The sequence below is a fragment of the Homo sapiens genome, chromosome 16 (genome assembly GCF_000001405.40).
Source record: "Homo sapiens chromosome 16, GRCh38.p14 Primary Assembly".
Lineage (NCBI taxonomy): Eukaryota > Metazoa > Chordata > Mammalia > Primates > Hominidae > Homo > Homo sapiens.
In genome coordinates, this window is record NC_000016.10 from 30748172 (window position 1) to 30770031 (window position 21860).

The 21860-nt window shown below is 53.8% G+C and overlaps 3 protein-coding genes across 16 annotated transcripts in view, besides 14 other annotated features; 2 read left to right on the top strand and 1 right to left on the bottom strand.

Annotated features, from left to right (window-relative positions):
* Window positions 1–300: a silencer, noted in NCBI's record as "silent region_7391". NCBI's record gives its function as "represses an Ori minimal core promoter by ATAC-STARR-seq in GM12878 lymphoblastoid cells {active_cell/tissue: GM12878}" and the evidence as "EXISTENCE:reporter gene assay evidence [ECO:0000049][PMID:35858748]".
* Window positions 254–13005, top strand: PHKG2 (phosphorylase kinase catalytic subunit gamma 2). Of its 2 annotated transcripts, NM_001172432.2 has the most exons (11): window positions 254–319; window positions 632–744; window positions 2935–3110; window positions 3378–3432; window positions 5061–5126; window positions 5223–5386; window positions 8011–8101; window positions 8196–8349; window positions 8419–8544; window positions 8633–8788; window positions 11948–13005. In NM_001172432.2, exons 2-11 carry the CDS (start codon window positions 650–652, stop codon window positions 11987–11989), a joined length of 1125 nt encoding a protein of 374 aa, NP_001165903.1. In that variant the 5' UTR covers window positions 254–319; window positions 632–649; the 3' UTR covers window positions 11990–13005. The 2 variants fall into 2 exon arrangements, with proteins under 2 accessions (NP_001165903.1, NP_000285.1); NM_000294.3 differs by having other exon boundaries at window positions 8633–13005.
* Window positions 341–480: a silencer, noted in NCBI's record as "silent region_7392". NCBI's record gives its function as "represses an Ori minimal core promoter by ATAC-STARR-seq in GM12878 lymphoblastoid cells {active_cell/tissue: GM12878}" and the evidence as "EXISTENCE:reporter gene assay evidence [ECO:0000049][PMID:35858748]".
* CFAP119 (cilia and flagella associated protein 119) lies at window positions 9252–13891 on the bottom strand. Of its 9 annotated transcripts, none has more exons than NM_001014979.3 (9): window positions 13374–13891; window positions 13027–13058; window positions 12435–12497; window positions 12113–12282; window positions 11483–11553; window positions 11171–11287; window positions 11007–11076; window positions 10841–10930; window positions 9252–9483 (listed from the first exon to the last, which is right to left on the bottom strand). In NM_001014979.3, the coding sequence occupies exons 1-9, from the start codon at window positions 13575–13577 to the stop codon at window positions 9305–9307; spliced, it is 996 nt and encodes a 331-aa protein (NP_001014979.2). In that variant the 5' UTR covers window positions 13578–13891; the 3' UTR covers window positions 9252–9304. The 9 variants fall into 9 exon arrangements, with proteins under 9 accessions (NP_001014979.2, XP_016879344.1, XP_016879341.1 ...); XM_017023855.3 differs by having other exon boundaries at window positions 11171–11386; XM_017023852.3 differs by having other exon boundaries at window positions 11171–11553.
* Window positions 10752–10851: an enhancer, noted in NCBI's record as "active region_10722". NCBI's record gives its function as "activates an Ori minimal core promoter by ATAC-STARR-seq in GM12878 lymphoblastoid cells {active_cell/tissue: GM12878}" and the evidence as "EXISTENCE:reporter gene assay evidence [ECO:0000049][PMID:35858748]".
* Window positions 11816–13015: an enhancer, noted in NCBI's record as "MED14-independent group 3 enhancer chr16:30771308-30772507 (GRCh37/hg19 assembly coordinates)". NCBI's record gives its function as "activates an origin of replication core promoter dependent on BRD2, BRD4, P300/CBP and CDK7 cofactors, and independent of MED14, by STARR-seq in HCT116 cells {active_cell/tissue: HCT116}" and the evidence as "EXISTENCE:reporter gene assay evidence [ECO:0000049][PMID:35650434]".
* Window positions 11816–13129: a biological region, named in NCBI's record as "MED14-independent group 3 enhancer GRCh37_chr16:30771308-30772507".
* Window positions 12980–13129: an enhancer, noted in NCBI's record as "active region_10723". NCBI's record gives its function as "activates an Ori minimal core promoter by ATAC-STARR-seq in GM12878 lymphoblastoid cells {active_cell/tissue: GM12878}" and the evidence as "EXISTENCE:reporter gene assay evidence [ECO:0000049][PMID:35858748]".
* Window positions 13214–13443: a silencer, noted in NCBI's record as "fragment chr16:30772706-30772935 (GRCh37/hg19 assembly coordinates)". NCBI's record gives its function as "represses an EF-1alpha promoter that drives an FKBP-Casp9 reporter gene in an ReSE screen in K562 erythroleukemia cells {active_cell/tissue: K562}" and the evidence as "EXISTENCE:reporter gene assay evidence [ECO:0000049][PMID:32094911]".
* Window positions 13441–21860, top strand: part of RNF40 (ring finger protein 40) — a 14696-nt gene continuing 6276 nt past the window's right edge. Inside the window, 17 exon segments of one of the 5 annotated variants that reach the window (NM_001207033.1) lie at window positions 13441–14189; window positions 14304–14506; window positions 14947–15114; window positions 15247–15388; window positions 16008–16214; window positions 16767–16888; window positions 17010–17156; window positions 17254–17328; window positions 17992–18111; window positions 18208–18387; window positions 18570–18705; window positions 19723–19844; window positions 19932–20359; window positions 20448–20565; window positions 20667–20816; window positions 21015–21227; window positions 21304–21429. In NM_001207033.1, coding sequence (NP_001193962.1) covers window positions 14375–14506; window positions 14947–15114; window positions 15247–15388; window positions 16008–16214; window positions 16767–16888; window positions 17010–17156; window positions 17254–17328; window positions 17992–18111; window positions 18208–18387; window positions 18570–18705; window positions 19723–19844; window positions 19932–20359; window positions 20448–20565; window positions 20667–20816; window positions 21015–21227; window positions 21304–21429 — 2586 coding nt within the window. In that variant the 5' untranslated portion in view covers window positions 13441–14189; window positions 14304–14374. 5 annotated transcript variants of the gene reach the window in all.
* Window positions 13720–13899: an enhancer, noted in NCBI's record as "active region_10724". NCBI's record gives its function as "activates an Ori minimal core promoter by ATAC-STARR-seq in GM12878 lymphoblastoid cells {active_cell/tissue: GM12878}" and the evidence as "EXISTENCE:reporter gene assay evidence [ECO:0000049][PMID:35858748]".
* Window positions 13855–14492: an enhancer, noted in NCBI's record as "H3K27ac hESC enhancer chr16:30773347-30773984 (GRCh37/hg19 assembly coordinates)". NCBI's record gives its function as "activates a minimal SCP1, AML or CMV promoter by ChIP-STARR-seq in primed H9 embryonic stem cells {active_cell/tissue: H9 hESC(primed)}" and the evidence as "EXISTENCE:reporter gene assay evidence [ECO:0000049][PMID:30033119]".
* Window positions 13980–14239: an enhancer, noted in NCBI's record as "active region_10725". NCBI's record gives its function as "activates an Ori minimal core promoter by ATAC-STARR-seq in GM12878 lymphoblastoid cells {active_cell/tissue: GM12878}" and the evidence as "EXISTENCE:reporter gene assay evidence [ECO:0000049][PMID:35858748]".
* Window positions 14360–14469: an enhancer, noted in NCBI's record as "active region_10726". NCBI's record gives its function as "activates an Ori minimal core promoter by ATAC-STARR-seq in GM12878 lymphoblastoid cells {active_cell/tissue: GM12878}" and the evidence as "EXISTENCE:reporter gene assay evidence [ECO:0000049][PMID:35858748]".
* Window positions 15606–16106: an enhancer, noted in NCBI's record as "H3K4me1 hESC enhancer chr16:30775098-30775598 (GRCh37/hg19 assembly coordinates)". NCBI's record gives its function as "activates a minimal SCP1, AML or CMV promoter by ChIP-STARR-seq in naive H9 embryonic stem cells {active_cell/tissue: H9 hESC(naive)}" and the evidence as "EXISTENCE:reporter gene assay evidence [ECO:0000049][PMID:30033119]".
* Window positions 16107–16607: an enhancer, noted in NCBI's record as "H3K4me1 hESC enhancer chr16:30775599-30776099 (GRCh37/hg19 assembly coordinates)". NCBI's record gives its function as "activates a minimal SCP1, AML or CMV promoter by ChIP-STARR-seq in naive H9 embryonic stem cells {active_cell/tissue: H9 hESC(naive)}" and the evidence as "EXISTENCE:reporter gene assay evidence [ECO:0000049][PMID:30033119]".
* Window positions 21076–21272: a silencer, noted in NCBI's record as "fragment chr16:30780568-30780764 (GRCh37/hg19 assembly coordinates)". NCBI's record gives its function as "represses an EF-1alpha promoter that drives an FKBP-Casp9 reporter gene in an ReSE screen in HepG2 liver carcinoma cells {active_cell/tissue: HepG2}" and the evidence as "EXISTENCE:reporter gene assay evidence [ECO:0000049][PMID:32094911]".

Consider the following 21860-nt stretch of genomic DNA (forward strand, 5'->3'; position numbering starts at 1 on the left):
GTGACAACAAGCTCCGCCCTCTGCTGTCCCGCAGATGCCACTCGGTGATTGGCCGCGTCTGAAGCCGCGCCCCGGCGTCGCGTTGCAGCCTTAGGTCCAGCCGAGCGCCGACTCACGCCCCAGCCCCAATTGGGCGGCCGGTTTCCAATTGGAAGGGCTTCTGAGCCTCAGTCTTCGGGCGGCGCTGACCATTGGCGGGCAGGATGGAGGCGGAGCCTTGGGTTGTCGCCCGCCGCCGGGGGTTAAGGTGAGCGACTGCAGGCAAACCCGGCGACAGCGCAGCTCGCGTCGACCCTGGCTCCTCTGCCTGCCCCCTCAGGTGAGCCTGCGCTAGACCCCCGTCCCCTTCCTGCGCCCGCCCGAATGCGCCTGCGCGGCAACAGCCGCCTGCCCTTGCGCCCCTTCCCCCTGCCTCCTGGGCACATCTCCCCACTCCCCTCCCTGCCCTGCCATCCTCCCGCCCCCAGGCTCTTCTGCGGGGTCTCCCCAGTCCGGGTCCTTCCCCCACCCCCCCCCACCCCCCAGGACCCTGGCGCCCCAGCTGCAAGGGCTGCGCCCCCGGGAGCCGCCATGCGGGTCGTCTCAGAGCCTGTGGGCCTCCCTGCCCTCACTGCCCTCCTCCTCCGCGCAGGCCCCCGCCTCCTTCAGGATGACGCTGGACGTGGGGCCGGAGGATGAGCTGCCCGACTGGGCCGCCGCCAAAGAGTTTTACCAGAAGTACGACCCTAAGGACGTCATCGGCAGGTAAGGCCGCGGCCAGGGAAACGGAGGTCCAAAGAGGTCGAGCCCCAGCATTCCCGCTTCCGTTTGAAGGCTGGAGAGTTCGCGGGTGGTGGTGGTGGTGGTGGTGGTGGTGGTGGTGGTGGTGGTGGTGGTGGTGGTGGTGGTGGTGGTGGTGGTGGTGGTGGTGGTGGTGGTGCTGCTGCTGCTGCTGCTGCTGGTGGTGCTGGTGCTGGTGGTGGTGGTGCTGGTGCTGGTGGTGGTGCTGGTGGTGGTGGTGCTGGTGGTGGTGCTGGTGGTGGTGCTGGTGGTGGTGTGTGTGTGTGTGTGTGTCTTTCGGTGGTGGTGGTGCTGGTGCTGGTGGTGCTGGTGGTGGTGGTGTGTGTGTCTGTGTGTGTGTGTGTGTCTTTCAAGTTCAGGTTTTCTCAGGAGAAGACTGGATAGTTGGTTTTGTTTGTTTGTTTGTTTGTTTTTGAGACGGAGTCTCGCTCTGTCGCCCAGGCCGGAATGCAGTGGCGCGATCTCGGCTCACTACAACCTCTGCCTCCTGGGTTCAAGTGATTCTCCTGCCTCAGCCTCCCGAGTAGCTGGGATTACAGGCGCGCGCCACCACGCCGGCTAATTTATATTTTTAGTAGAGGCGGGCGTTTCACCATATTGGCCACGCTGGTCTTGAACTCCTGATCTCGTGATCTGCCCGCCTCAGCCTCCCAAAGTGCTGGGATTACAGGCGTGAGCCACCGCGCCTGGTTGACTGAATAGTTCTAAATGGGAAGAATCAGTGATCAGTGGAGAACACCTAGTGACTAGACTCTTACCTTGGGTCAACCCCATTTTTTCACGGATTCATTCATTTATGCCTTCAACACAAAGCTCAACACGGGGAGGGCAGAAAAGATGCGTATGCCCTGGAGGTACTCCACCCGAAGTGACTGAAATTGGCACGTGAACGTTAAAAAGGCATCAGGCTAGATAGGTAGAGGTCTGTATCAAGTGCTATGGGATTCCAGAAAAGCACACCTTCTCAGGAGGAGTCACCTTTGGGCTGGGTCTTGAGGTATGAGTAGGAGTTCAGGGGGGGGTCTTTAAAATCGCAAAAATGTATGCGTGTGGTAGATGTCTCCAGCTTTCATCAGATTCTCAAAGAGGCTCATTAAAGCTGGGTCATAATTAAAACATGGCCTCAAACTCAGATGCCCTTAGTGGTTGCGCAGGAAATTGAAACTGTGAAGTGGCCAAGAGTAAGAGAGTAGGAAGTGTTGTGGAAGGTGGAGGGTTTTGCCCCACCTATGATGTATGAATTCAGATTTGTGTAAAAAAATAAAAAAAAAATTGCACCGGCCAAAACGTAACACATCTGAGGGCTGTGTTTGGCCTGTGGATCAATAGTTTACATCCCTTGATTTAACTAGATGTGGGTGGCCGAATTCCCAAGTGAGTTATGTGAGGCCAAGGAGGCCCCAGAGAGCATAACAGTAAGGCTCTGCGAAGGGCAGCCAGGGAACCAGGATAAGAAACAGGATTTGAGGCTGGATCCTGGAGGGATTTGCTCCTTAGTCTGAGGAATGTGTAGGGTCATATGGAGTTGGTGATAGCCTGAGCAAGGAAATCCTTGTCTAGGACTTTGTGTGTGCCTCATGAATGCCCTTCAACATCCCTTCAGGATGCTGTTGGCTGCATTTCACAGCTGAAGTCCAAGAACCTTATGTCAGGGGACCACTTAGGTTAATTGGTAGCAAATCTGGGGTCTGCACTAAGATCTAATTTTCAGCTTTGGTCTTCTAGTCAATGGCTTCCTACTTATTTGGAGCTTCCTACACTTGAGGGAACTTTGGGATTTGGATGGGGTAATCAGGCAAGTGTAAGTGGAATATAGAGGGAGACTTAGATCTTTCTTTCCCCTTCCTGCAAGGAACAGGTGCTGAGGCTCAGTGTGGGAAGGACTTGCCTAGGCTTTCCCATGGAGGAAGTGGCAGAGCCTGGATTTGAACCCAGGCCCTACCTGCCTTCCCTGTGAGCTTTGTGTTGTGCCTTGCTGGGTACTCAGGTTTCTGAGGCTGCTGTGAAGCCAGGGTGAGCTCCTAAGCTTGTTGCCCTGTGATCCAGATGGGTCTTCAGAGTCTGGCACAGCGGGCATGAGGATGCTGAGGCCCCAGCCTGTGCGGAAATGTGAGCACAGAGGCCCTGACTTGTGCTATTTTCCGGCTCTTGCAGAGGAGTGAGCTCTGTGGTCCGCCGTTGTGTTCATCGAGCTACTGGCCACGAGTTTGCGGTGAAGATTATGGAAGTGACAGCTGAGCGGCTGAGTCCTGAGCAGCTGGAGGAGGTGCGGGAAGCCACACGGCGAGAGACACACATCCTTCGCCAGGTCGCCGGCCACCCCCACATCAGTGAGGCTGTCTTCCTTGCTCCTGTTAGCAGACGACCCCCCACCTCCTGCTGGCCCTGCCCATAGCCCACTTCCGCCAACATTGCCTCCACACCTCTCCTCCCTTCATTCCACTAAAGAGTGGCCATCCGTTGGGCGCCCACTGCCTCCTCTGGTTCTCCTTTCTTCCCAGTAACAGCCCGCTGCTGTCCCAGGGTGGCCAAGCCCCGTTAATGTGCATCCACTCCTTTCCATCTCTGTCTCTCTGCCTCTCTTCCTCTCTCCCTAGTCACCCTCATCGATTCCTACGAGTCTTCTAGCTTCATGTTCCTGGTGTTTGACCTGTGAGTATCTCCCTGCCACCATCTGAGAAGCCTCCTCCCCACCTCCATGTATGGCCCAGCATTTGTGGTGCAGTGGGCTGGACCCATCCTGCTCACACCTTCCTGTTCCAGCTGGGGCTCTCTATCACCTGGGCCTGCCTGCTAGCGCATGGCTCTGGCCTTCTCCCTTGGTGCCATGATTGAGGCAAATTCTTTAATAGTGACTAGTGGCTGGGTGCAGTGGCTCACGCCTGTAATCCCAGCACTTTGGGAGGCCGAGGCGGGTGGATCATGAGGTCAGGAGATCGAGACCATCCTGGCTAACACAGTGAAACCCCATCTCTACTAAAAATACAAAAAATCAGCCGGGCGTGGTGGTGGGCGCCTGTAGTCCCAGCTACTCGGGAGGCTGAGGCAGGAGAATGGCATGAACCCGGGAGGCGGAGCTTGCAGTGAGCCCAGATTGCGCCACTGCACTCCAGCGTGGGCGACAGAGTGAGACTCCATCTCAAAAAATAAAGTAATAGTGACCAGCCAGACGTGGTAGCTCATGCCTGTAATCCCAGCATTTTGGGAGGCTGAGGCAGGTGGATCACCTGAGGTTAGTAGTTTCAAGACCAGCCTGGACAACATGGCGAAACCCCGTCTCTACTAAAATACAAAAAATTGGCCAGGCATGGTGGTCGGTGCCTGTAATCCCAGCTAATCGGGAGGCAGGAGAATTGCTTGAACCCGGGAGGCGGAGGTTGCAGTGAGCTGAGTTCGTGCCATTGCACTCCAGCCTGGGTGACAGAGCGAGACTCTATCTCCAAAAAAAAAGAGAGTGTTCAGCAGTGGACTGACCACTTAGAAAATAGATCCTCACTCACCAGCCTCTCGCGCTGCTTAACACGCTAACTATTCTGGTGTCTGTCTCTGCCCATCAGTTCTTTTTCTGGTCAGAATCTGAATGTCCGATGCAATTGGTATAATGCAAACCAACTGCAAAGGTATTTTGAAAGAGAATGATTTGAATTCCAAAGATTTAAAAGAGGCCCTTGGAAAAAATTCATGAAGGCTTCGATATATTTACAGAAATGGCCCTCTGCAAAAGTCAGAGGGGACGTAAGGATGTCTATTATGCCATCCTGCAGCCATGCAGAGTGCCTACACTCCCCAAAACAGCACCTGATAATGTTACTTTGAGGACTGATGCAGAGTGCAAGTATAACCTCAATTTTGAAAGTATTATTTTTAATTGACACATAATTATAACCTCAGCTTTTAAAGACGAAACTTCAAAATAAGGTCCTATTCAACCTTTGTGCCACAAAAAACTGAAATTTTGGTCCATTTTCTTTATAGATTCACTTTGAGAGGCCTTTTTCAGGCATAGTTACTCTCAACAAGAACCTCCTATAAATTATATTGTCACAAGAAGTCTCTTATTTTTGCCATAATTGCCCCATCATGGCATAATGCAGGTATTTCAGCTGCCAACACACCAGGCCAAACTGCCTTGTTGGAGTGCTGTGTTTCTAGACCCTTTGGTTTGTCTGCAGAGATCTATCTTTAGTGGCCTCTTCCACAATATTTTGTATGAGCACTGGTCTGTTTTCTCAGCCCCCACTGTGGGATGCAGCTGCCTCCTATGCCCCTCCTTCCCTTAGGATGCGGAAGGGAGAGCTGTTTGACTATCTCACAGAGAAGGTGGCCCTCTCTGAAAAGGAAACCAGGTAAGGGTTGAGCCTGAAGCCCCAGGGGTGAGCAGGGGGTGGGACAGGGCAGGGAGGAGCCGAGGAGGAGACTGCACCCGCCTCCCCTTCCCCCAGGTCCATCATGCGGTCTCTGCTGGAAGCAGTGAGCTTTCTCCATGCCAACAACATTGTGCATCGAGATCTGAAGCCCGAGAATATTCTCCTAGATGACAATATGCAGATCCGACTTTCAGATTTCGGGTTCTCCTGCCACTTGGAACCTGGCGAGAAGCTTCGAGGTGAGGGGATCTAGTGCCCTAATAGGCTTGGGAGGGGAGACCCAGGCCTGATGAGATTGGTTGGCTGGGTCTGAGTACCAAGTCCCTGGTGCCAAGAAAAAGGGAGAAGTCATTGGGCACTTGCCAAGTATCCTGTGGGCGCAAAGCCTATGTTTACCTCAGAGTGGGCATCCTGACCTGGGAGGATGGAGACAGACAAGCAGGCAGACAGACAGTGGTGCACAGTGGGCAGAGGGCCAGGCCAGGGGAACCCGGAGGAAGGAACGCCAATTCAGCCTGAGCCCCATAGAGGAGGTAAAAAAGGGAGCCACATGTTCAGCCACGTTTGGGGTCTGGAGTGCAGGACCACAAGAGCCTGATGTGATGTGTCCAGACTGCACTTCCCACCTGGGCCCTGGGCCTCAGGTTCACCTGATGTGAATACAGTTGTTGTGACAGGAATGTTTCTACTGCAAATGGGAAACTTCAAATAAAATTCACCTGTGGGATTCTTCAGAGCCTTTAGTCTGCCACTGACTCTCTCCCTCAATGGTTTGTACTAGACTTATGAAAAGCTACCGTTTACTGGGCATTCACCTGTGAGGCAGGCACCAGTCTTTTTTTTTCTTTTTTCTTTTTTTTTTTTTGAGACAGAGTCTCACTCTGTCACCCAGGCTGGGATGCAGTGGCATGATCTTCACTCACCGAAATCTCCACCTCCTGGGTTCAAGCTATTCTTCTGCCTCAGCCTCCCAAGTAGTTGGGATTACAGGTGCCCACCACTACGCCTGGCTCATTTTTGTATTTTTAGTAGAGATGGAATTTCACAATGTTGGCCAGGCTGGTCTTGAACTCCTGACCTCAAGTGATCCTCCTGTCCCAGCCTCCAGAAGTGCTGGGATTACAGGTGTGAGCACTGTGCCTTGTCGGCACCAGTCTTTATATGGCTTATTCCCCTAAATCCTCTCCACAGCCCTGTGTGACAGACAGTATTTGTGTCTCTTTTTTTATAGATTGGCTCAAAGAGGTGAGATGACTGCTCTAGGGTCCTAATGCTAGGATTTGAACTTGGACAGTCTGACTCCAGAGTTAATACTCTTAACCTGTGGACCCACATGTCTGGTGGATGTTGTACTTTAAAACCCTTTGGCTTCCACATGTACTTTTCCCGTTTGTGGAATCATCTTTGCCTCTGCCCACTGCATCCTCTCCTTGGCTTGGGTAATTCAGGCTTCACTTTAAACCTCCAGGGCAGCTTAGGTCCCCTTGCTTTCTGTTCTCCCATCTTCTTCATTCACAACACGTCTTACTGTATTGTTATTTCTCACTTGCCTTCAGGTAGACAGTGAGCTCGGTAAGGGCTCATCTCATTTGCCACTTGGCAAATCAGTGCAACTTGGCATTCAAGAAATACTTGGTGTAGGAATGAATTTCCCAACAAAGTCAGTTTCAATTCGGGGCTGTTAAAATCTCCTGGAAGTGTGCCATGGAACAAGGTTCAGAAAGTACTGGAAGAATTGGTGCCCGAGTGGTAGAACAAACTAAAAATACAGACTTGAGCCAAGCGTGGTGGCACGCATCTGTCACCCCAGCTACTCGGGAGGCTGAAGGAGGAGGCTCACTTGAGCCTAGGAGCCCAAGGCTACAATGAGCTGTGATAGTGCCACCACACTCCAGCCTGTGTGACATAGCGACCCTGTCTCTAAAAATAAATAAATATAAAAATACAGACTTGGATAAAGTTTTGGAGGGCTCTGGACTTTAGAACTGTAGATTTGATCATGTGTCATGATGTGGAATCAGGGAAGGGTTTTAAACAAAGGACTTACCCATTATGTGCTTTAAGAAATCCCATAGCTCGCCGGGCGCGGTAGCTCACGCCTGTAATCCCAGCACTTTGGGAGCCCGAGGTGGGCGGATCACGAGTCAGGAGTTCAAGACCAGCCTGGCCAACACGGTGAAAGCCTGTCTCTACTAAAGATTCAAAAAATTAGCCAGGCGTGGTGGCACGTGCCTGTAATCCCAGCTACTCGGGAGACTGAGGCAGGAGAATCGCTTGAACCCAGGAGGCGGAGGTTACATTGAGCCGAGATCATGCCATTGTACACCAGACTAGGCGACAGGGCAAGACTCCATCTCCAAAAAAAAAAGAAAAGAAATTCCTTATCTCCACTTCTTCCCCTTGGGTTGAGTGATAGTTGGAGATTATAGGAGGAGGAAGAGGTTTGGGCAGATAGGAATGCAGAAAATTTTTTTTTGCGTATGTATTATGATGTATGTAAAAATACATAATCTTTCCATATGCATTATGATATATATAAAACTAAGGTAACAAGTTGTGAGGAGTGGGTAGGTTGGCTTGGATAGTGGGTAGGTAGGGTTGGAGGAGGCAAATGATATGGTGGAACAAGGACCTTGAAATCAATCCAAAACCCAGGTTTTCCTAGGAAGGCCACCAGGAGCCATGGTGAGCCAACTGTTGCGCAGGGATAGTGCCTCAGCAGGAGACTTGGCAGAAGGCAGACAGAAGGAAGATGGGAACACTGGTAGTCCTGGCAGCGTTGAGGAGGCTCCAGCAGAGATCCAGTGCTAAGGGCCCTAGAGGGGCTGGTGGCATCCCCTCAATCTTGGTCCTCTCTCCCCAGAGTTGTGTGGGACCCCAGGGTATCTAGCGCCAGAGATCCTTAAATGCTCCATGGATGAAACCCACCCAGGCTATGGCAAGGAGGTCGACCTGTGAGTTCCTGGTCTCCCCCTCCCTCCCGTGCTTGCTGTCCTTTGCTGGGTCTGCCCGTCACCTAGTCCCGCCTGACTCCAGTCTCTTTCCCAGCTGGGCCTGTGGGGTGATCTTGTTCACACTCCTGGCTGGCTCGCCACCCTTCTGGCACCGGCGGCAGATCCTGATGTTACGCATGATCATGGAGGGCCAGTACCAGTTCAGTTCCCCCGAGTGGGATGACCGTTCCAGCACTGTCAAAGACCTGGTGAGCGGGGGCTGAGAGGACAGTAGGGGAGGCCCAAGAGCTGCCCCTCATGCTCTGGGTCTCTCCTAGATCTCCAGGCTGCTGCAGGTGGATCCTGAGGCACGCCTGACAGCTGAGCAGGCCCTACAGCACCCCTTCTTTGAGCGTTGTGAAGGCAGCCAACCCTGGAACCTCACCCCCCGCCAGCGGTTCCGGGTAAGCCTGAGTGTATCAGGGTCTGGGCCCGTTTCTCTGTCCCATGATCTTTCCCCTGCACTAGAGCTCACCCTGCCCCCCTTCCCAGGTGGCAGTGTGGACAGTGCTGGCTGCTGGACGAGTGGCCCTAAGCACCCATCGTGTACGGCCACTGACCAAGAATGCACTGTTGAGGGACCCTTATGCGCTGCGGTCAGTGCGGCACCTCATCGACAACTGTGCCTTCCGGCTCTACGGGCACTGGGTAAAGAAAGGGGAGCAGCAGAACCGGGCGGCTCTCTTTCAGCACCGGCCCCCTGGGCCTTTTCCCATCATGGGCCCTGAAGAGGAGGGAGACTCTGCTGCTATAACTGAGGATGAGGCCGTGCTTGTGCTGGGCTAGGACCTCAACCCCAGGGATTCCCAGGAAGCAGAACTCTCCAGAAGAAGGGTTTTGATCATTCCAGCTCCTCTGGGCTCTGGCCTCTGGCCTCAGGCCCACTAATGATCCTGCTACCCTCTTGAAGACCAGCCCGGTACCTCTCTCCCCACTGGCCAGGACTCTGAGATCAGAGCTGGGGTGGAAGGGAGCCATTCTGAACGCCACGCCTGGCCCGGTCAGTGCTGCATGCACTGCATATGAAATAAAATCTGCTACACGCCAGGGAGAACAGGTGTCCTGTGTCTGTCTGGCTTGGGCAGGAAAGCCCAGAAGGTGCTCAGCAGGGTGCAGGGATGGTGCCATTCTGGCCCAGACCTTTATTGGGGAAAATGTTGGGGGTCACTTGGTCTTGCTCTTGCCTTTACCCGGAGGTAGCTGGAAGGGCCGCTCTAGTGCAGTCAACTTGCTGCTGAGCCTTTCCTCGCTGGCCTTGAGCCGCTCCTCCACCAGCCCCTGGAGCTGCTCCAGCTCTTTGTTCACTTGGGTCTTGATGTAGGCTCGGAGGACGTGGATGTGGCCTGCAGGGGCAGGGAAGAAGGGGCAGGGTGAGGAGAGATGCTGTCTGGCAATGGGGGGATGGTCCCTAGTTGGGCAAACAGTCCCCAAATTTCCCCTGGTGGGGATATAGAGGTAGCAATGTTGTTTCCCTTTAGGAAATGTTAGCAAGCCCTTGTGTGAGAGGTAGTTGGGTAGGGTGGCTATGCTGGACTTTGCAGCTTCAAATTCTGATCCCTACTCAGTAGCTGTGTGACCTTAGGCAGGTTATTTAACCTATCTGTGCCTCAGTTTCCTTGTATGAAATGTGGATAGTGATACCTAGCACATAGGATTGAGGGAGGATTAAATGAGTTAATTTATGTAAAATGCTTAGAGCAGGGCATGCACTGCACACCTATTGCCAAGTATGTGCTGGCTGTTATTGTCATTGGCTTTCTCTTTTTTTTTTTTTTTTTGAGATGGAGTCTTGCTTTATCCCCCAGGCTGGAGTGCAGTGGCAGCGATCTCAGCTCACTGCAAGCTCTGCCTCCCAGGTTCATGCCATTCTCCTGCCTCAGCCTCCCAGTAGCTGGGACTACAGGCACCCGCCACCACGCCCGGCTAACTTTTTGTATTTTTAGTAGAGACGGGGTTTCACAGTGTTAGCCAGGATGGACTCGATCTCCTGACCTCGTGATCCGCCTGCCTCAGCCTCCCAAAGTGCTGGGATTACAGTTGTGAGCCACTGCACCTGGCCTGTTCTTTGTTTTTTTTTAACTCTTAAGTTCTGGGATACGAGCAGAACATGCAGGTTTGCTACGTAGGTATACATGGGCCATGGTGGTTTGCTTTACCCATCAACCCATCATATAGGTTTTAAGCCACCGTCATTGGCTTTCTAATGATCATTTCTCTGGAGCCACTTCAGCTGTGCTTTTTGTTTGTTTGTTTGTTTGTTTTGAGACAGAGTCTTGCTCTGTTGCCCAGGCTGGAGTGCAGTGGCCAGATCTTGGCTCACTGCAGTCTCCACCTCCTGGGTTCATGCAGTTCTCCTGCCTCAGCCTCCTGAGTAGCTGGGACTACAAGCGCGCACCACCATGCCTGGCTATTTTTTGTATTTTAGTAGATAGGGGGTTTCACGGTGTTGCCCAGGCTGGTCGCGAACTCCTGAGCTCAGGCAATCCGCCTGCCTCAGATTGTGCTGGGATTACAGGTGTGAGCCACCACGCCTGGCCTGCAGCTGTGCTTTTATCTGTCATCTTGGACTTCTGCATAAGGGATCATTTAGAGAAAGGACTCTGACTAAAAACAAAAAGTCTGAAGTCCTGATGTCATCCAAACCCTTCATTCTACACCTGCTCAGAGGGACAGGGCAGCCTGCCCTCTCCAGATCCTCACTTGGCTCTGGCTCTGGTGGGGCCACTGTCTCTAGTTCCTCTTTCTGCGGGGTAACTGCCTGCTCCTCCATCTCCTTGCTTTCTTCTTTCTCTGCAAACCAGAAGCAGGAAGAGACTGTGGCCCCAGGCCTGGCCCAGCCCAGCCCTGCCCTGGCACTCTCCCTTACCCGTCTCACTCTCTGGCCACAGTTTGGGTGGCTGTAGCCCCATGTAAGTCAAAGACAGATCCAGCCGCACCTGGGAAGCAAGGCAGAGGGAGGCTGAAAGGAGTGCACCTGTGCTGAGGGGAGGGGCGGTTGAGGGTGGCTCCTCATGGTCCACCACCCCCTACCTGGGGTGTGAAGACGTATTTATAGAGCTTGAAGTGGCGGAAGTAAGTGTTGACCACGTAGTCTTCCAAGGCCAGCAGCTGTTCCTCTTTGAAGAGGTCGATGCTGAAAGGAGGCCGCTGTGGTGGTGACTCGGAATTAGAACCCTGACTACCTTCCGGAGCCCTGGCTTTGCCTCCAAAAGCCCAGCAACAGGAGCAAGGAGAGCCCACTGGGGTCTTCACAAGAAGATAAGGGTGATGAATGTGAGAGAGACTGGGTGAGACCTTGTCTGGGGATGGGTAAAGTTTCCAGAATGTTCCAGGGGAACTGACCCTGACTCCATGGCAAAAAAGGACACTGGTGAAGTAGCGGTAGCACTCCTCCACGTTGCCCAAGGGGGTTGCTGGTAGGGAAAGCAAGATGCAGCAGTGAGGCCCTCTCTGGTATCCATTCATTCACTTCACTCAACAGCTGTTTATGACCATGAGCTTCAGAAGCAGACAGATCTGGGTTTCAGCACTGGCTTGTTTCCTTAACTCATGTAACAAATACTGAATACCCACTATATGCCCACTGTATGGTTTTCGGCACTGAACAAGACAGACAAGGTCCTGCCCTTACGAAGCTTATATTCTAGGGGAATAAACCAAGAAATAGATCATTTCAGCTATTAAACATTCTGAAGCAAGAGCTATTAAACATTCTAAAGCAGGTGTTATTGTGCACTATGCATATATTTGCATATATTATTTCTCAGAACAGTCCTGTAAAATGTGTGCTGTATCCTTAATTTCTAGATAAGGAAGCAGTGGATTGGAAAGCTGATGGCTTGTGTATGATGATGCTACTAATAATGACATATTCCAGGCAGAAATCCCCTGCTTCTGCTTCCCATGGTCACTTGTGCCAGGCCCGGTTCCTCTTCTCCCTGGGGCTCAAACCTGGTAGCTGCCCCCTCTCACCAATACAAGCCTTGTGAAGATCCTGGAGCAGGGCACAAGCCGCTGACGTCTGCTCCAGTGAGAAGCCCTGCTGGCGGCAGAAAATGAGCGCGTGGCAGAAGAGGTCCAGGGTGATGGCGTCCCTCAGGCTCTGCTCAGGACACCCTAGCTCCAGCAGCTCAGCCAGCACCCTTGGGAGGGAGAGAGGAGTGAGTGACAACTGGGCCTCCTTTCATCACCCTACACCCACCACATGCTTTGGAGTCAGCCATTCCTCATGTTTTCCCAACCTGACCCCTCAGCCTTTGCCAAGAGCTCTTCCCACGCCCCCCTCAGTCCCTACTCCCTCATCTCAGCATTGGTGGTCTTCTCCAGCTGGTGCATGGAATGGACGTCCAGGTACTTCCTGTTATAGTAAAAGAAAAAGAGTATTGGTGGCCGTTACCTATCATGACAAGGCTGTGACAGCTAGTGCGTGAGACTGGGAGTTGGCCACCGGCGTGAAGCTGGGCTCTTTTGCCAGCTTGCTGTGTGACTATGCAAATCGTTAACTCTCTGGGCCTAAATGAACTCTTATGAGCCTCTCCATTTCTAAAGCCTAGGGTTAGGAATCTTGAATTCTTTTTTCTGCTCTGCCACTACCTTGTATGACCTTGGTCAAGTACTCCCTGTGGCCCTCAGTGTCCCCCTCTGTACAATACTCCTTAGCGGCCATGAGACTCCATTTACATTCTGTCTTTGGCTCTTTTTTTCTCACACTGCCTCCTCTTTGGACTGGAGAGGCTGGAAAGCCAACTTCCAGTCACCTGGAGTAATTGCATCTCCAGGCCTCAGTCTCATCTGTAAAATGGGGATGCCCTGGCCACAGACAGGACTGTTGGGGAGACAATAAAGAACGCAAATATTCAGTGTAATTTTTGTCTCTTCACACTCACCACATGCAGATCCGGGGTCGGGGCAGCGGCGGCTGCGGAAAGAAAGCGAATTGGGGAAGGCAGCTGCGGTGTCCTGGCCCGTAGCGAATCTCCAGCAGGCCGGAGAAGCCGCTGTAACTTGCCATCTCATCTCAAGGACTAAGGAGAGGCGCGGGCGAGGGAGGGCTTCAGCAGGCCCTAGGTGCTCTACGCGAGCACAGTAACCACCGGGGTCACACACCCCTGCCTCTCCTCGCCCAAGCAGCCCGGGAGACGTCCCGAACGTTAGTAAGCATAATGACAGGTGGCGCCTGCGGGGGAGCCGGTTTATAAATATTCACGAGCAGACCAGACTGTCCCGCCCTCACCGGAAACAAGTTGGCTCCGGGGTCTTCATCCGCTTTCGCCGCCGCCGCCGTCGTCCACTGAGTCCGCACACTCGCACGCGTCCGCGCGGCCGACCCATGCACTGAGCTGCGATCCTTCCCCGCTTCCCGCCGCAGCTCGGAGAGATGTTCAAGCTCCGACTGCACCCTCATTCCCAAAAAGTGGCTGGTCTTGCGGTTGAGCATCTCGCCGCTCTTCCGTGCCGCGAGGCGCCCCGGGCTCCCGCCGCCTAGGTTCCAGGACAGCCAGCGCTCGGTCGGCGGCTACCAAGGCCGGGCCCGTTCGCCTCGCTCCGGCCAATCTACGCGCGGAGAGGCGCGGCGGGGCGAATCCGTGGGGGCGTCTCCCTCCGTCTCAACGGCGACGGTTGCCAAGGGGGCTTGTGAGGGAAGGAAGGCGGAAAGCGCAGGCTCACGCCAGTGGGAGCGAAGAGAACGCGCAGATACGTGAGAAGTTGCGAGTGCCCACCTGGGCGCCCTCTCTTCCAGGTTGCTAATACGAGGGCCGGTGCTGTCCTCCAGGCTGGGAAGTGGGAGCGCGGTGTCAGTTACTATGGGAACTGCCTCTTGGCCAATCACCGAGAGAAAGAGGAGGTGTTTGGGAAGAAGCCAGAGGACCCGAGTGGCGGGACCAAGCGTAACCAATAGAAGCAGAAGATAAAGAAGTTTCCTCACATCCGGGGCTGCCTTTGGCGCCTGCGCCCTGCGCACCGTTGGGGGGGGGGCAGTGGCGTCCAGTGACGCCCAGTGACGTCCGGTGAAATCCAAGATGGCGGCGCTAGGCTGACCCTCCTGCTGGTGAGGGCTCTGGCGCCGGGGGGGACGGGATCCAGCAGGTGTGTGCAGGGTGGAGGGTGTTTGGGGCTGTGGAACACCAGCCGTTCCCACATCTCTGCTCTGTGTCTTCTGCAGGTGACGGAAGTACCGCCTCCTCCCGTTTGACGCCCCTCAGGGGACCCTGCATCGCTCCAGCCGCCGCGGCCATGTCTGGGCCAGGCAACAAACGCGCCGCCGGCGACGGGGGCTCAGGGCCCCCGGAAAAGAAGCTGAGTCGTGAGGAGAAGACCACCACGACTCTTATCGAGCCCATTCGTCTTGGAGGCATCTCTTCCACGGTTCGTGGGCTCTTGCCTTAACCCTCAGAACTTCCCAGAGCCCTCCCTCTGTTCTCTGGCCAAACTGTGCGGAATCTTACACCCACTTCCCCAAGTTTAGCAAGGTCCGCGTTACAGGACCTTGAAAGAAAGGTTAGAAAGAAGCTCAGAACACGACGCCTGTCTTCCCTTTACAGATAGGAAAACAGGTTTCCAGGGGGCGTGTGACTTGTCAAAGACTAAGGATTTACAAGGGGACAGGCAGAAACAACGTGAGCCTCCTCACAACAAAGACACTTTCGCTGTGTGTTGTCTGAGCCTCCTTAGATTCTGTTAGCGGTTAGTGTGGGAATACCTCCATCTCCCATGCATTGCAGATGCTCTGCTCCTCTTTCTCTCTCTGTGATTGGTTTGTGGGCCCTGCTTGACGCTCTCGTCGGCCCCTTTGTTTCCTTTGGTAGGAGGAGATGGACCTGAAGGTACTACAGTTCAAGAACAAGAAACTGGCAGAGCGGCTGGAACAACGGCAGGCTTGTGAAGATGAACTCCGAGAACGAATTGAGAAGTTGGAGAAGCGGCAGGCCACAGATGATGCCACACTCCTCATCGTCAATCGCTACTGGGCCCAGGTGGATACCTTCTGCTTTCAAAGACCAGGCCTTGATTCAGCTGCCAATCCCCAGATTCCCCTGCTAGGAAAGGAGTATCATGTTGGAAAGCACTAAGGGATTCATAACATTTTTGATGTTTTCTCCTTCCAGCTGGATGAAACTGTGGAAGCCCTTCTCCGATGCCATGAGAGCCAGGGGGAGCTGTCTTCAGCGCCTGAGGCACCTGGGACCCAGGAGGGGCCAACATGTGATGGGACTCCTCTCCCAGAGCCGGGGACATCAGAGCTGAGAGGTAGGACCAGAGTGCTGGGATCTGGGGAGCTTAAGTTCTGGGAGAAGTCCTGGGGAGGAGGGGACTTTGGTGTTGGGCCCCTGAATTGCCTATCTTACTACTTCTCACGAAATGGATTTCATGTTTGGGCAGTAAAGTGCAGTGCACAAAAACACAGGCTTTAGACTCTGACTAACTTGGTTTATAGAGCAATTCATGTTTTGACACCCATTTGTTTCAAAACAGTATTATGGTTGAGTATTAAATATGTATTTGACGCTTCCTAGAAATGAGTGTTGCACTTGCTATAAGGGAGGAAATTATAAACATAGTAAGCAGAAAGTACTGGGGCTCCTGAAACGGAATGATTGTGTGTGCATGCATGTGCGTGTGATTCTAATTATATTGGTAAAGTACAGGAAGCTTCCCTGAGGATGTGATACGCAACTCTGTAGCTTTGAGGAAATTACTTTACCTCCCTGAATTTCATTTGTCTCACTTTCAGGATGGAGATAATAGTGCACTATAGGTTGTGTTGATTAAGTGAACCATGAGTATTGAAGGGCTCAGTCTGGAACTTGGTACAGAGTGGTAGTAACTGCTGCTCTTATCCTCATGAGGGTCTGTCCATTCCTTCCAGACCCCTTGCTGATGCAGCTGCGGCCCCCTCTCAGTGAGCCGGCCTTGGCTTTTGTGGTGGCACTGGGTGCCAGCAGCAGTGAGGAGGTGGAGCTGGAGCTGCAAGGCCGAATGGAGTTCTCCAAGGCAGCTGTGTCTCGTGTGGTAGAGGCCTCAGACCGCCTACAGCGCCGGGTGGAGGAACTCTGTCAGCGAGTGTACAGCCGAGGTGGGTTCTTTGTGCCCATACTGAAGGGGTGTCCATCCCCACCTGCATCTTGATGGCACCCCTTCCTGATTCCCCTAATGCCCGAGTCCAAGGGCGGCCAGAATTTCCCAAGGAATAAATCAGCCATGTTCTTGGAAGAGGTAGGTTAGGCTGTAGATGGGGGTTCCAACTTTGATTCCGGGATTGAATGCTAGAGAGATGGGTTGGAGGAGTTGTTGATGCCGGTAGAGGCTCCTGGCCAGAGGCCCCTCTGGAGCACTTGGTGTGGGTTGCGGATCCACAAGGCATAGCTTCAAGGGCTCAGGCCTTGTAGGTTGACAGGCTTCTCCCACCTTAGTTCTGCCACCCTCACCTGGACATGCTGGGAAAGTGGCTCCCCTCTCTGAGCTGGTTTCCTTCTCTGTGCAGTGGGGATAAAGACTCCTGGCTTTGTCATGAGAAATGGGCAAGACAGCTGGTGGATCACACTGGGTATATAGCAGACTCCAGAATGAGTTAGTTGTTTGCCCCATTGCCCTGAGCTGGGCTCTTACCTGGGCCCTGCCTTCCCAGGGGACAGTGAGCCCCTCAGTGAGGCGGCTCAGGCACACACCCGAGAGCTGGGCCGTGAGAACCGGCGACTGCAGGACTTGGCCACTCAGCTGCAGGAGAAACACCACCGCATCTCATTGGAGGTGAGGAGCCGGGGGCTTTGGGGGTGTGATTAGAATCAGGCAGGATTTGGGTTAGATGGGCACTCAGGGACCTCAGGAACCAAGTCCCCCATCCAAGCATCTGCTCCCTCATTGTTCCCAGTACTCCGAGCTCCAGGATAAAGTGACATCGGCAGAGACCAAGGTGCTGGAGATGGAGACAACAGTGGAGGACTTGCAGTGGGACATCGAGAAGCTGCGGAAGCGAGAGCAAAAGCTCAATAAGCACCTGGCAGAGGCCTTAGAGCAGGTGGGGCAGGGGTGCTGGGGCAGGTGAGGCAAGGCTGGGCCCTTGGGCCTTAGCTCCTCCCCTCTACATCCATTGCCTGTCTGTTTTCTCTCCACAGCTTAACTCTGGCTACTATGTATCTGGGAGCTCCTCAGGCTTCCAGGGGGGCCAGATCACACTCAGCATGCAGAAGGTGAGCGGCGTTTTCCTCCCACCCCTTCTCACAACCTCTTCTCTGTTGCACTCTTGAAATTCCCCTCAGGACAAAGGACAAACATCCATCTCTGAGGCCCTTCCTGGTCACTCCTGCTGCTCTTTTTTTCATGCATTCATATACTTGTTGAGTAGATTTTTGAACACTTAGTGCTAGGCACTAGGCATATTGGCGAGAACAAAATAGAGGTCAAAACTTTCATGGACCAGACAAGAAATAAATAAAAGAATATATCTTTAGGTTCTACTTGTGGTAACAGACAAGAAATCAGTAAAATAGCATATCAGTGTGTTATGAGTACCACAAAGATAAAGCACAGAAGAGAGAGCTAAGAGTGAGTTGGAGTCAGTTGGCATCTGGTGGTCACTGTGCCCTTTTTCCCTTTATTAGCACTTTAGGCCTTTCTGGAATGCCTTCCGTGACTCCCCATCAGTTAAGAGCCTTAGTTCCCAGCACCGACCATGCAGTATTGAATTTTCTCCCATTTTTCTGGGAGCCCTTAGGAAAGTACTTGGTTTGGGGTGTCAGAATCGATCATTGCCCTGCACGGGGTGCTTGGGGTGGAGTGTATGCTGGGGATGTAAGGGAGGCCTGCTGCCACGTCTGGCCCTGCCTCCCATGGCCCTGCCTCCCACTCCTTAGTTTGAGATGCTGAATGCAGAGTTAGAGGAAAACCAGGAACTGGCCAACAGCCGTATGGCAGAGCTGGAGAAACTGCAGGCCGAACTTCAGGGGGCTGTGCGGACCAATGAGCGCCTCAAGGTGGGCTGCTGTAGGGGCTGAGAGGTCCTGGGCCTGTAAGGGAGGGACTGAGCCCTGAATCCTGTTGCTGATCCCATTTGGGCATCCCTGCCCCAGGTGGCCCTGCGGAGCCTTCCTGAGGAGGTAGTGCGGGAGACGGGGGAGTACCGCATGCTGCAGGCCCAATTCTCACTGCTCTACAACGAGTCTCTGCAAGTGAAGACCCAGCTAGACGAGGCTCGGGGCCTGCTGCTGGCCACAAAGAACTCCCACCTGCGACACATCGAGCACATGGAGGTATGGCCCTGGAACAGGCGTTAGGGCTGGGCTAAGGGCCAAACCGTTAGTGTTGACGTGTTTGTGCCTTCCGAGGCCCTGTGTGCCAGCCAGGGGTCCCTGGGGAATAGATTCTTCCTAAGATACTGAGTCCTGAGGTGGGACCGAGGGGCTGTGTGGGTCCTTAACACATCAACCCACAGAGCGACGAGCTGGGGCTGCAGAAGAAGCTACGCACAGAGGTCATTCAGCTGGAGGACACGCTGGCCCAGGTACGCAAGGAGTATGAGATGCTGCGCATCGAGTTTGAGCAGAATCTGGCGGCCAACGAGCAGGCGGGTATGTGGTGAGGATAGGGCGGAGGTGGGGCCTTATCTGGGAGTGCTGGGCCCTGGTGTGGGGCTGCTGCTTATCCAGATGCAAGAGGCTAAGGCCTTTTTTTTCACAGAGCCTCGGCTTCCTATGCAAAACAGGGCCTGCACTGCTTGGCTCCCAGGCACAGTGAGGGTCCGCCAGCTGGGGTGGCTGATGGAGCAGGCACATGCAGAGTCTGAGCTGTCAGCCCTGTCCTCATTCTTCTGGTCTGATGACGTCTCTGTCTCTCAGATACTTGTGTTACAAAGATTTATCAAATGCCACCTCTGAGCCAGGCTCTGTTCTAGGGTTTGGGGTTATGCCAGTGAACAAAACAGAATTCCTGCCATGTGGAGCAACATTCTGATAGAAGACAGACTAGAGGAAGACGAACTAGTAGAAGAAAAATGGAAAATGTGTTAGCTCTTGACAGATAGGAAAGTAAAGCAGAAAAGGAAGATAGGAAGTATCAGGAGAAAGGGTGTTGCAATTTTGAATAGGAGGCCAGGGAAATGTACTGGGAAGGTGATATTTAAGAATCTAGAAGAAGTTAACTAACTTTTGTGAATGTTACAGTTACCTTCTCTATTAAAGGGAATTGGATGTATAAAAAAAAAAAAGAAAAAACCTAGGCCAGGTGTGGTGATTCATGTCTGTAATCCCAGCACTTTCGGAGGCCAAGGTGGGAGGATCACTTGAGGCCAGGAATTTGAGACCAGCCAGGGCAACAAAGTGAGACACTGTTTCTATTTAAAAAAAAAACAAAAAACCCCACATATTCTATATTAGCAAAAATCGTATGAATAGGCAGTGTCAAGTTAATTTTGGGTGAGTTTCCTTGAAGTCAGCATTATTTACTTTGATGAGTTCATGCTCCGTTGAGGCCGCAATGTTCCCCTCCTGCACAGTGGGAGTGATGGCATAGCCTCTTACCCCACTGAGGGGTTGGAGTCCTAACCCAGGAACTGGTTCTGACACCTTTACTTGCTGATGCTCCTCCAGGGCCCATCAACCGTGAGATGCGCCACCTGATTAGTAGTCTTCAAAACCACAACCACCAGCTAAAAGGGGACGCCCAGCGATACAAGCGGAAGCTTCGAGAAGTACAAGCTGAGATTGGCAAGGTGAGAAGGGGCCTGCCTGGGAAAAGGTTTGGCTAGACTCCAGTGAACACCATCTGACTTCATCCCTCTTCCTCTCTGCCTTTGCAGCTCCGGGCCCAGGCCAGTGGCTCTGCCCACTCCACCCCCAACCTGGGCCACCCAGAGGATTCTGGCGTCAGTGCCCCAGCCCCAGGGAAAGAGGAGGGTGGGCCAGGCCCTGTCAGTACCCCCGACAACAGAAAGGAGATGGCTCCAGTGCCTGGCACCACCACTACTACCACTTCAGTGAAGAAGGAGGAGCTGGTCCCCTCTGAAGAGGACTTCCAGGGTATAACCCCTGGGGCCCAGGGCCCTTCCTCCCGGGGCCGAGAACCTGAGGCCAGGCCCAAGCGGGAGCTTCGGGAACGGGAAGGTCCCAGCCTAGGACCTCCACCTGTAGCCTCCGCTCTCTCAAGGGCTGATCGGGAGAAGGCCAAGGTGGAAGAAACCAAGCGGAAGGAATCAGAACTCCTCAAGGGTCTCCGAGCAGAGCTCAAGTGAGGCTCTGTTCCTGTCTCCTTCCTGACCCTGCCAGGTGGCCTCCAGTCCCACTCACTAAGACTTCCTCCTGTACCTTCTTGCCAGGAAGGCCCAGGAGAGCCAGAAGGAGATGAAACTGCTGCTGGATATGTACAAGTCAGCGCCCAAGGAGCAGCGGGATAAGGTGCAGCTCATGGCAGCGGAACGCAAGGCTAAGGCCGAGGTGAGGGCAGCTGGGGCTTGTGGGGCATTCAGAAAGGCAGAGCAGAGTCCTAGCTCAGCAGGAAGCAGTGTCAAGAGAGTTTCTTCTTCCCTGTGCTATAGGTTGATGAGCTGCGGAGCCGCATCCGGGAATTGGAGGAGAGGGATCGAAGGGAGAGCAAGAAGATCGCGGATGAGGATGCCCTGCGGCGCATTCGGCAGGCAGAGGAGCAGATAGAACACCTGCAGCGCAAGCTGGGTGCCACCAAGCAGGTGCGGCCCATGTGGTGCCCTCGCGTCGGAGCGCAGGGAGTTCCCTTCATACCCTGTTTGGTGCCTCTAGTGCCTGCAGGACCTTGATGATCTGGGTCCCCTCTGTAGTTCTTTGCTTCGCTGCGTTTTCCCATGGTTCCCCCACAGCCATCCTGTCCACTTCCCACGTTCCATCTTGTCTCTGCCCACTTGCTGCAGGAGGAGGAGGCTCTGCTCTCAGAGATGGATGTGACAGGTCAGGCTTTTGAGGACATGCAGGAACAGAACGGGCGGCTGCTACAGCAGTTGCGGGAAAAGGATGATGCCAACTTTAAGCTAATGTCAGAGCGGATCAAGGCCAACCAGATTCACAAGCTGCTGCGGGAGGAGAAGGATGAGTTGGGCGAGCAGGTCCTTGGCCTCAAGTCCCAGGTATGGCCGCCGCCAGCTTGCAGACTGGAGCTGGAGAGGTGGGGGTCATGGCCCTGAGTCCTCCTCTGGTCCTTAGGTGGATGCCCAGCTGCTGACTGTGCAGAAGCTAGAGGAGAAGGAGCGAGCCTTGCAGGGCAGCCTCGGGGGTGTGGAGAAGGAGCTGACGCTGCGCAGCCAAGCCCTGGAGCTCAACAAGCGGAAGGTGAGGCTGGGCCAGGGGGACACACAGCTTGGGCTGCTGGCTCACCTCCTCACCTTCCGGTTCTGCTCAGAGCACCCGATGCAATAGCCTGAGGTGAAGCCAGGCTGTCACAGAACAGCTCACACATATTGAACATTTACATGTGCCAGACCACATGCTGAGTACTTGACATGCTTGGTCACATTTCAGTCTCACTAATCCTATCAAGATGGTGTTTACGGGCGTGGTGGCTCACGTCTGTGATCCCAACACTTTGGGAAACAGAGGCGGGAGGTTTGCTTGAGGCCAGGAGTTGGAGACCAGCCTGGGCAACATAGTGAGACCCCATCTCTACAAAAAAATTTTAAAATTAGCTGGGTGTGCTGGTGCACGCCTGTAGTCCCAGCTTCTCGAGCAGGCTGACAGGTGAGAGGATCACTTGAACCCAGGAG

Excerpts from the sequence above, each read along its gene's own strand:
- PHKG2 (NM_000294.3), top strand. The coding sequence starts at position 650 with ATGACGCTGGACGTGGGGCCGGAGGATGAGCTGCCCGACTGGGCCGCC. Across the intron at positions 3,111-3,377 it reads CGCCGGCCACCCCCACATCA|TCACCCTCATCGATTCCTAC; the intron begins GTGAGGCTGTCT and ends CTCTCTCCCTAG. Across the intron at positions 5,127-5,222 it reads CTCTCTGAAAAGGAAACCAG|GTCCATCATGCGGTCTCTGC; the intron begins GTAAGGGTTGAG and ends CCCTTCCCCCAG.
- CFAP119 (XM_017023852.3), bottom strand. The coding sequence starts at position 13,577 with ATGCTCAACCGCAAGACCAGCCACTTTTTGGGAATGAGGGTGCAGTCG. Across the intron at positions 12,498-13,026 it reads CGACCCCGGATCTGCATGTG|GAAGTACCTGGACGTCCATT; the intron begins GTGAGTGTGAAG and ends TTACTATAACAG. Across the intron at positions 11,077-11,170 it reads AATACGTCTTCACACCCCAG|GTGCGGCTGGATCTGTCTTT; the intron begins GTAGGGGGTGGT and ends CTTGCTTCCCAG.